At 42.9% G+C, this 11,790-nt stretch overlaps 1 protein-coding gene and 1 long non-coding RNA gene across 3 annotated transcripts in view; one reads left to right on the plus strand and one right to left on the minus strand.

The window, feature by feature from the left end:
* LOC105369798 (uncharacterized) overlaps positions 1 to 612 on the minus strand; it is a 31,313-nt gene extending 30,701 nt beyond the window's left edge. The window contains exon 1 of the long non-coding RNA XR_945018.2: positions 54 to 612. This is a non-coding gene — a long non-coding RNA (uncharacterized LOC105369798). The remainder of the gene's footprint in view (positions 1 to 53) is intronic.
* SRGAP1 (SLIT-ROBO Rho GTPase activating protein 1) overlaps positions 1 to 11,790 on the plus strand; it is a 317,518-nt gene that overhangs the window by 285,421 nt on the left and 20,307 nt on the right. The window lies entirely within an intron of this gene.

An 11,790-nucleotide genomic window follows, 5' to 3' on the forward strand; every position in this document is an offset into this window, starting at 1 on the left:
TACTAAGAAACGCCCTAATGGATCTCCTGTATTCCATGCACACTCTTTTTTACCTGCATCGTGGAGTAGTCGACTGATTTCATCTTGATAGTCTGAGTCAGTCACCTTAGCCAACACTGTAACTCCCTTCTTAGTCTGTTGCCTTAAAGGTAGGAGGAGCCCAAAGTGTCCAGGTGGCAATCTTAACTCAATGGCATTGTTGCTGTGTCTCCTGGTGGCACATTCCTCCCTCTGGAACTGAGACCTCTAGGCCAGCAGAACATAATGTCGCGGGAACAGGAAGTAAAAATGTTGCTAGGGGGTCACTAGGGATAATGATGAATGGTGCCACTTCCACTTCCACCTCTTGATTCCTGGACCCGTGAATCCTGGCTATGGGAGAAACTGCACCATGTATTGGACACAGATTCAGAGCATACACAGCCTTCTGGGGAACTTTGCCCCAGCCCTGCAAAGTATTGTCACCTAGTTGGTGTTGCAATTGTGACATCACAAGACCAATCCACCATTCTGTCAATCCAGCTGCTTCAGGATGATAGGGAGCATGGTAAGACCCATGAATTCCATGAGCATGAGCCCACTGCCACTCTTCTTTAGCCATAAAGTAAGTGCCTTGGTCAGAGGTAATGCTGTGTGGAATACCATCATGGTGGATAAGGCATTCCATGAGTCACAGATGGTAGTCTTGGCAGAAGCATTGTGTGCAGGATAGGCAAACCCATATCCGGAGTAACTGTCTATTCCAGTGAGGACAAACCTCTGCCCTTTTCATGATGGAAGAGGTCCAGTGTAATCAACCTGCCACCAGGTAGCTGGCTGATCACCCTGAGGAATGGTGCCATATCGAGGGCTGTGTTGGCTTCTGCTGCTGGCAAATTGAGCACTAAGCAGTGGCCATAGCCAGGTCAGCCTTGGTGAGTGGAAGTCCATGTTGCTGAGCCCATGAGTAACCTCCATCCCTGCCACTATGGCCACTTTGTTCATGGGCCCATTGAGCAAGAACAGGGGTGGCTGGGGAAAGAGGCTGAATGGTGTCCACAGAATGGCTCATCCTATCCACTTGATTATCAAAATCCTCCTCTGCTGAGGTCACCCGTTGGTGAGTACTCACATGGTATACAAATATCTTCACAGTTTTTGACCACTCAGAGAGGTCCATCCACATACCTCTTCCACAAATTTGTCACCAATTTTGCAATCATACTTCTTCTAAGTCCCTGACCATCCAGCCAAACCATTGGCTACAGTCCACGAATCAGTGTATAATCACACATCTGGCCATTCCTCCTTCCATGCAAAGTGCACAGCCAGGTGCACTGCTCGAAGTTCTGCCCACTGGGAAAGATTCCCTTCACCACTGTCCTTCAGGGATGTCCTAGAAAGGGGCTGTAGTGCTGCAGCTGTCCACTTTCGGGTGGTGCCTGCATATCATGCAGAACCGTCTGTGAACCAGGCCCTAGTCTTCTCTTCCTCTGTCAAGTGATCATAGGGAACTCCCCATGAGGCCATCAGTGCAGCCTGGGCATTTGAGCCACTTCCTCATGTAACTTATGCCTTCAGGAGTTGCATGAGCTCGATCACATATATACCACTTCCATTTGATGATGGAATGCTGCTGTGCACGACCCGCTTTATGGCTAGATGTGTCAGAAAGCACCCAGTTCATAATAGGCAGTTCAGGTTGCATGGTGACTTGATGACCCATGGTCAAACGTTCAGTTTCCACCAAAGCCCAGTAACAGGCCAAGAGCTGTCTCTCAAAAGGAGAGTAGTTGGCCAGGCGCAGTGGCTCATGCCTGTAATCCCAGCACTTTGGGAAGCCAAGGCGGGTAGATCACGAGGTCAGGAGTTCAAGACCAGCCTGACCAATATGGTGAAACCCGATCTCTACTAAAAATGCAAAAATTAGCCAAGTGTGGTGGCACACGCCTGTAGTCCCAACTACTCGGGAGGTTGAGGCAGAAGAATCATTTGAACCAGAGAGGTGACGTTGCAGTGAGCCAAGATCACGCCACTGCACTCCAGCCTGGGTGACAGACAGAGACTCCATCTCAAAAAGAAAAGGAGAGCAGTTATCTGCAGAAGAAGGCAGGGCCTTGCTCCAAAATCCTAGAGGCCTCCGCTGTGATTCACCTATGGGGGCCTGCCAAAGGCTCTAAACAGCATCCCTATCTGCCACTGACACCTCAAGCACCATTGGATCTGATGGGTCATATGGCCCAAGTGGCAGAGCAGCTTGCACAGCAGCCTGGACCTGTTGCAGAGCCTTCTCCTGTTCTGGACCCCACTCAAAACTGGCAGCCTTTTGAGTCACTCGATAAATGGGCCAGAGTAACACACCCAAAAGAGGAACGTGTTGCCTCCAAAATCCAAATAGGCCCACTAGGCGTTGTGCCTCTTTCTTGTTTGCAGGAGGGGCCAAACGCAGCAACTTATCCTTCATCTTAGAAGGAATATCTTGATAGGCCCCACACCACTGGACCTCTAAAAATTTTACTGAGGTAGAAGGTCCCTGAATTTTAGTCAGATTTATTTCCCATCCTCTAGCACACAAATGTCTCACCAATAAGTCCAGTGTGTTTGCTACTTCTTGCTCACTGGATCCAGTCAGCATAATGTCATCAATGTAATGGACCAGTGTAATATCTTGCGGAAGCAAAAAGCAATCAAGGTCTCTCCGAGTAAGATTATGACACAAAGCCAGAGAGTTGCTATACCCCTGAGGTAGGACAGTAAAGGTATATTGCTGGCCTTGCCAGCTGAAAGCAAATTACTTCTGGTGGGCCTTATGGACAAGAATGGAGAAAAAGGCATTTTCCAAGTCAGTGGCTCCAATCCACATACCAGGAGATGTGTTAATTTGCTCAAGCAATGAAACCACATCTGGTACAGCAGCTGCACTTGGAGTCACCACTTGGTTAAGCTTACAATAATCCACTGTCATTCTCCAGAATCCATCTGTCTTCTGCACAGGCCAAATGGGAGAGTTGAATGAGGATGTGGTGGGAATCACCACCCCTGCATCTTTCAAGTCCTTGATGGTGGCATTAATCTCTACAGTCCCTCCAGGGATGCAATATTGTTTTTAATTTACTATTTTTCTAGGTAAAGCCTGCTCTAATGGCTTCCATTTGGCCTTTCCCACCATAATAGCCCCCACCCTACCAGTCCAGAGCCAATGTGGGGGTTCTGCCAGCTGCTAAGTATGTCTGTGCCAATTATGCATTCTGGCACTGGGGAAATGACCACAGGAGAAGTCTGGGGACCCATTAGACTCACTGTAAGTCAGACCTGAGCTAAAACTCCATTAATTACCTGACCTCCACAAGCCACTACTTTAACTGGAGCACCACAACGACATTTTGGGTCCCCTGGAATCAGTGTCAGCTCAGAGCCAGTGTCCATTAGTCCCCAAAATGTCTGATCATTTCCCTTTCCCCATTACACAGTTACCCTGGTAAAAGGCTGGAGGTCCCCTTGGGGAAGGATGGGATAAAGATTCACTGCATAAATTGTCAGTAATATAGCGGGGTCCTTCCTCAAAGGGACCTGGCCTCCTCTTCATTCAAGGGGTTCTGGGTCTGTAAACTGGGTCAAGTCTGGAAATTGATTGAGGGGCCATGATTCTCTGTTTTCATAATTCAAATTAGTCTTTTGTCCATCCAACCTAGAAGTTTTCTGCTTGTGTAAATTAAGTAGGAATGCAGTAGGCTTCCTATCAATTTCACTTTTAGGAACAACGTGATTAATTAGCCAATGCCAGAGTTCTACACGAGTCAGACTATTCTGCTTGCTGCTTTGCCTCTGCTGTGCATTACTGTAGCTATGCCCACCTTGCCTTTGATGATTGAGTGTCGCCTTGCCTTTGATGATTGAGTGTTGCCACTTGGCTCCTGCTACCTTGGGATCCAATTATCTCCATTGTATTTAAATTTTGTAGTTGAGTGACTGTGGTTCCCACCGTTAGATCTGACATACAGAGAACAGCAATTACAGGGCTCTTCAAAGATGCAAGTGCTGGCCAAGTGCGGTGGCTCATGCCTATAATCTCAGCACTTTGGGAGGCCAAGGCAGGCAGATCACGGGGTCAGGAGATTGAGACCATCCTGGCTAACATGGTGAAACCCCGTCTCTACTAAAAATCTAAAAAATTAGCTGGGAGTGGTGGTGGGTGCCTGTAGTCCCAGCTACTTGGGAGGCTGAGGCAGGAGAATGGCGTGAACCCGGGAGGCAGAGCTTGCAGTGAGCCAAGATTGCGCCACTGCACTCTAGCCTGAGCGACACAGCAAGACTCCATCTCAAAAAAAAAAAAAAAGATGCAAGTGCTGCTCTCACAAATCTGTTTTGCAAGGCATTGGTCAAGGACTCTCCCAGCTGGGATGAGTAAGTCTAAAGTGACTAATCCACTCCACCATCCCAATCTCCCTAAGCCTTTGGATCCCTTCCTCTACATTAAACCAAGGGAGAGCAGGCATTTTCAGCTCACTCACAGTGCTCACAGTGGGCCATCTTTCAATCCATATTTCAGTTAACCAAGCAAATAAACTATTAGAACCTTTTTTAACTCCCCGAGCTGCAACATTAAATGCAGAGCTCCTACTTAATGGGCCCAAATCAATAAATTCAGCCTGATCTGACTCTATGTTCCATCTACCATTATCCCACACCATTAATATCCATTCCCATGCCTGTTATCCAGATTTCTATTTATATAAATTAGAAAACTCAAGCAGTTCTTTTCTAGTGTGGCACACCTCTTCATGGGTCACACTCTCAACCTCACCTCCAGGGGCCTGCCGGGATATTAGTCTAGTTACAGGTCTAGAAGCAAACAGAAGTGTTGGAGGTGGCTCCTGAGGAGAGTCAACATTATCTTGCCTGGCAGCTGCCTCATGGGAGGCCATCACCATTGCCTCAGGCAGCACAGGGTTTATCTCCTCAGACAAAGGTGGAAAGGCTGATGGCAGCATGGGTCAGGGAGGGGATGTTGCCGCTACTGGGGATAGGGAAGCTGTTTCTTCTGGCAAAAAAGGTTCATCAGGGTTTACAAACTCAGTGCCCCCAGCTTCATCAGGGTCCTCCCACACATCCCCATTCCAAGTTGCAGGGTCCCATTCTTTTCTAATCAATGCCCTCACTTTAACAGTAGACACCTGGTGAGGCTGTGCATGTATCTTTCATTGCAGGTCAGCGACTTGCATAAGAACTCGTGTCTGGTTCTCCATAATTTTAGTTCTTTATCTGTGGGAGATAAGACTCACACTCAGGGCAGTCTTAGCAGATTTGAGGTTCAGTATCTGCTTCTGAAGCCAGGAGATAGAATCCTTGAGTTCATCATTTTTTTTCATCACTTTGTCCACTGAACTTAGGAACAACCAACCAGCTTCACTATGTTCCTTGGTTCTCTACATAATACTCCATACAAATGTATTATGTACGGAGTCACTAAACTCCTTGCCTCTCACGAGCGATGAATCAGGAGTGTCAAATGCACGTATTTTGCATAACTCTCTAAACAGTTCACACCAAGAACTATCAGTGTTCTCCATCCTATTAGAAGTAAAGTCCTTAGTATTTTTTGGTCTAATCATATAAAGCAGAAGCCCCAAAATCAATGAAAGAACTCCATCCTTAATATTCTGTCCCTCTAGAACCACTCCTGGTACCAAAACCTGTATTAGTCAGGGCTCTCTGGAGGTACAGAATTAATGGAATACATATACATATAAAGGTGAGTTTATTATTAACTCACACAATCACAAGGTCCCACAATAAGCCGTCTGCAGGCTGAGGAGCAAGGAGTCGGTCCAAGTTCCAAAACTGAAGAACTTGGAGTCTGATGTTTAAGAGCAGGAAGCATCCAGCATGGGAGAAAGATGTAGGCTGGGAGGCTAGGCCAGTCTAACCTTTTCACGTTCTTCTGTTTGCTTTATATTCGCTGGCATCTGATTAGATGGTGCCCATCCAGATTAGGGGTAGGTCTGCCTTCCCCAGCCCACTAACTCCAATGTTAATGTCCTTTGGCAACACCCTCACAGATACACCCAGGATTAATACTTCGCATCCTTCAATCAAGTTGACACTCAGTATTAACCATCACACTAAGAGTGGTGGTGCATGTCTGCAATCCCAGGTACTTTGGAAGCTGAGGCGAGAGAGTTGCTTGAGCCCAGGAGTTGGAGGCTGCAGTGAGTTATGATTGTCTTACTGCACTCCAGCCAGGGTGACAGACCAAGACCCTGTCTCCAAATATATGTATGTTTATAATCAGTGAGAAAAGAGGTTAATAGATTCAGGGATTACCATTTGAATAATCTAAAAGGCAACTTCCAGCTATCACTGAAGTTTAAAAACTAAGTAGATTTCAAAAAAGAGTGAATGAGAAATGAATGAAACATGGAAAAGGATTAAAGATGGGTTATTTTTAATAAAAAGTACCCAAGGAATCCGGCCCCAATATGACAAATGTCCAAGCTATTTTGAGTGTTCTAACTAAAAAGAATTTTGGATAGCAAATTAGATTGTGAGAAGTTTAATGTGTTTTTTAAAAATTAACGCAATTTTAAGTGTACAGCAACTTCTCAGCAAAAATCAAAAAGGCTTTGACTGTTTTATTTTTTTCTGTTTAGAGTGCTATGCAAGGCCCTTTGAGGCATACTTACAACCAGCAATATTTTACTATAGCTGAATTTAATGATTTGAGAAACTTATAACATCACTGCTTATAATAAGCAGGTGAAACATAATTTGGGTTAGAGAGACAGGGATTTAGGTGCTTGGAGGTAGGAAGGCATATAAGGTCTGTTTAACCCTTTGACTTCTAGAATCAGGAAATTTTTTAAATTGTAAATTATAAAAACAGGCCAGGCACAGTGACTCATGCCTGTAATCCCAGCACTTTGGGAGGCTGAGGCGCATGGATCACTTGAGGTCAGCAGTTTGAGACCAGCCTGGCCAACATGGTGAAACCCTGTCTCTACAAAAAATAAAAAAATTAGCTGGGCATGGTGGCAGGCATCTGTAATCTGAGTTACTCGGGTGGCTGAGGCATGAGAATCACTTGAACCCAGGAGGCGGAGGTCGCAGTGAGCCGAGATCACAGTATTGCATTGCATTCCAGCCTAGGTGACACAGTGAGACTCCGTCTCAAAAAAAAAAAAATGTAAATTATAAAAACAAAAACTCAACAGATGACTAGGCTCTGCACATGTCTCTGAGGTAAATACTTGTAAAAAAAAAAATCCATATGTTTAGCCACAAATGGAAATCACATATGAAAGTAATAACTTGAAAAGTGATGTCACCCTCGTAAAATGTCTTCCAGATTTGTTTTTTATCTTTCCATCTTTAGCCTTCAGATTTTCCCATGGGGACAAGTGAGCATGCCATCAAGGTGTTCATTAAAAAAATGCAGATTATTTTATTAAGCAAATTAATGGAATGCCTAATGGAGATTTTTCAAAAGACTACCACATCCATACATAATCATCGTGTCTTGGTTTATTCATTATTGGAGACAGTGATTTAATATCAGGATCTTAGATTATTCATTTAGCAAATCTTTATTGAGCATTTACTGTATGCCATGTCTCACACTAGGTTTTATGCAAACAAAATTAAACAATAGCCGCAGCCTCAAAGTGCTCACATTCAATCTAGTCATGGAAATGAATAGGGAAATCAGTTACCATTAAACCGTGCCATGAGGGGTATGCTCCAGATGAGTGGGAGAAGCCCTGGGAATATGTCAGGAAGAGATATTTCAGTCACCAGGGCAGTGGTTCTCCACCATCTCACACAACACTCTGCCTTTTTCTTTCTTAATTGTGCTTAAAAAAAAAATATATATATATATATATATAAAAAATAATAAAATTGACAATCTTAACCATTTTTAAATGTATAGTTCAGAAAAGTATATTCACATTGTTGTGAAACATCTCTCCAGACTGTGTTCGTCTCACAAAACCAAAACTCTGTACACATTAAACAGCTCCCATTTCACCCTCCTCCAGTCCCTGACAACCACCATTCTACTTTTTGTTTCTATGAATTGGACTCCTTTAGTTACTGCATATAAGTGCAATCATACAGTATTTGTATTTTTTGTGACTGGCTCATTTCATTTAGTGTAATGTCCTCAAGGTTTACACATGCTGTAGCATGCGGTAGGACTTATTTCCCTTTAAGGGAAGTTTTCATAATTTAAATTTTTTTGTATGTATATACCACATTTTGTTTATCCATCTGTTGATGGGGCACACTCCACCTTTTTGAAACAAATTTATTGTAACTTCCCCCCTTTTACTATCTGAAATAAATTGACTTTTTTTTTTTTTTTTTTTTTTTGGAGATGGAGTCTCACTCTGTCACCCAGGCTGGAGTGAAGGAGTGAAGTGGCGCCATCTCGGCTCATTGCAACCTCCATCTCCTGGGTTCAAGCAATTCTCCTGCCTCAGCCTTGAGAGTAGCTGGGCGTGTGCCACCACGCCTGGCTATCTGAAATAAATTGATTGATATATCTATTTTGAAAAAATATATATAAATCTCTAAATAGAATATAAAATAAAAATAAAGGGAAATTGATATTAAAACAATTAAATGTATTTCAATTAATTACTGACTACACTAGAAGACAAATGAGGTAGTGATGCTTTCACCTACATGGTAGAGTTTCCATAAATGCAATAATTAAAAATGCATGTTGATATGAGAGTATTCAGTTAATTGAGTTAACTCAAATTCCATGAAAAGAGCTTCCATTAGTGATAATATTTCTCCAAAATGGTGAACAACCCTTGGTCATACTGTTCCAATCAAAACAAAAAATAACTTTCTAAAACAATAACATTCCTAAAAAATTTAACACCATCTAAAAAATATTTTATGTTTATATATTAGAAAAAGAGGTTCTAGGCTCAGGTTCTTAACAATTTTCACCTATATAAATGTCTGGAGGACATTCAAAAGTTGAACAAGGTGCAGGAAAATTCACTACATGTAAACTCACCAAGGCAAGATACCTAATATGTCTGACCCTGCCCATCAGCTGCCAATAATGCAGCCTTGTTATTGTGACATTAAAAACCACACACATACATCATATTACAAAAATGCCCCATAGGAGACAGTACCACTTTCAGTGAGATCCACTGGAAAACTGTATCAGGGGAAGACTTAAACTGAATTTCGAAGAACTTCTTGGAATTAGTCAAGTGTGTAGTAAGTGCTCAAAAATTTGTTGAATGAATGAATGAAGCCAGATTTTTTATTCCTATTGTATTTATTTCTTGAGAAATTATTGCAGTATCTAAATTTAAACTTTTATCATAAAAGTTGAAAAACTTGATTTGCATTTCTCTGATGGCCAGTGATGATGAGCATTTTTTCATGTGTTTCTTGGCTGCATAAATGTCTTCTTTTGAGAAGTGTCTGTTCATGTCCTTCGCCAACTTTTTGATGGGGTTGTTTGTTTTTTTCTTGTAAATTTGTTTGAGTTCATTGTAGATTCTGGATATTAGCCCTTTGTCCGATGAGTAGGTTGCGAAAATTTTCTCCCATTTTGTAGGTTGCCTGTTCACTCTGATGGTAGTTTCTTTTGCTGTGCAGAAGCTCTTTAGTTTAATTAGATCCCATTTGTCAATTTTGTCTTTTGTTGCCATTGCTTTTGGTGTTTTAGACATGAAGTCCTTGCCCATGCCTATGTCCTGAATAATAATGCCTAGGTTTTCTTCTAGGGTTTTTATGGTTTTAGGTCTAATGTTTAAGTCTTTAATCCATCTTGAATTGATTTTTGTATAAGGTGTAAGGAAGGGATCCAGTTTCAGCTTTCTCCATATGGCTAGCCAGTTTTCCCAGCACCATTTATTAAATAGGGAATCCTTTCCCCATTGCTTCTTTTTCTCAGGTTTGTCAAAGATCAGACAGTTGTAGATATGTGGCGTTATTTCTGAGGGCTCTGTTCTGTTCCATTGATCTATATCTCTGTTTTGGTACCAGTACCATGCTGTTTTGGTTACTGTAGCCTTGTAGTATAGTTTGAAGTCAGGTAGTGTGATGCCTCCAGCTTTGTTCTTTTGGCTTAGGATTGACTTGGTGATGCGGGCTCTTTTTTGGTTCCATATGAACCTGAAAGTAGTTTTTTCCAATTCTGTGAAGAAAGTCATTGGTAGCTTGATGGGGATGGCATTGAATCTGTAAATTACCTTGGGCAGTATGGCCATTTTCACGATATTGATTCTTCCTACCCATGAGCATGGAATGTTCTTCCATTTGTTTGTATCCTCTTTTATTTCCTTGAGCAGTGGTTTGTAGTTCTCCTTGAAGAGGTCCTTCACATCCCTTGTAAGTTGGATTCCTAGGTATTTTATTCTCTTTGAAGCAATTGTGAATGGGAGTTCACTCATGATTTGGCTCTCTGTTTGTCTGTTGCAAATCAAAACTACAATGAGATACCATCTCACACCAGTTAGAATGGCAATCATTAAAAAGTCAGGAAACAACAGGTGCTGGAGAGGATGTGGAGAAATAGGAACACTTTTACACTGTTGGTGGGACTGTAAACTAGTTCAACCATTGTGGAAGTCAGTGTGGCGATTCCTCAGGGATCTAGAACTGGAAATACCATTTGACCCAGCCATCCCATTACTGGGTATATACCCAAAGGACTATAAATCATGCTGCTATAAAGACACATGCACACGTATGTTTATTGCGGCATTATTCACAATAGCAAAGACTTGGAACCAACCCGAATGTCCAACAATGATAGACTGGATTAAGAAAATGTGGCACATATACACCATGGAATACTATGCAGCCATAAAAAATGATGAGTTCATGTCCTTTGTAGGGACATGGATGAAATTGGAAATCATCATTCTCAGTAAACTATCGCAAGAACAAAAAACCAAACACCGCATATTCTCACTCATAGGTGGGAATTGAACAATGAGATCACATGGACACAGGAAGGGGAATATCACACTCTGGGGACTGTTGTGGGGTGGGTGGAGAGGGGAGGGATAGCATCGGGAGATATACCTAATGCTAGATGATGAGTTAGTGGGTGCAGTGCACCAGCATGGCACATGTATACATATGTAACTAACCTGCACAATGTGCACATGTACCCTAAAACTTAAAGTATAATAAAAAAAAAAAAAAAAAAGAAAAACTTGGCCCGGCACGGTGGCTCATGCCTGTAATCCCAGCACTTTGGGAGGCCAAGGCAGGCGGATCATGAGGTCAGGAGTTCGAGACCAGCCTGGCCAACATGGTGAAACCCCGTCTCTAGTAAAAATACAAAAATTAGCCGGGCGTGGTGGTGGGCGCCTGTAATCCCAGCTACTTGGGAGGCTGAGGCAGGAGAATTGTTTGAACCCGGGAGGCAGAGGTTGCAGTGAGCCGAGATCATGTCACTGCACTCCAGCCTGGGTGACAGAGCAAGACTGCATCTTGGGGGGGGAAAAAGTTGAAAATCTTTTTTTCAAAAGTTTTCATAAACTTTTATCATAAGTTGAAATAGAATTCTATATTAATAAGTCAGCATGTAGATGTGGTGGCCTACACCTATAATCCCAGCACTTTAGGAGGCAGAGGCAGGAGGCTTACTTGAGCCCAGGAGTTCAAGACCAACCTGGGCAACTAGCAAGACCCCATCTCTACAAAAAATGTAAATATTAGCCAGCTGTGGTAGCACACACCTGTGGTCCCAGCTACTCAGGAGGCTACTCAGGAGGTAGCACATACCTGTGGTCCCAGCTACTCAGGAGGTAGGAGGATCATATG

Source organism: Homo sapiens, chromosome 12 (assembly GCF_000001405.40).
Source record: "Homo sapiens chromosome 12, GRCh38.p14 Primary Assembly".
Taxonomy (NCBI): domain Eukaryota; kingdom Metazoa; phylum Chordata; class Mammalia; order Primates; family Hominidae; genus Homo; species Homo sapiens.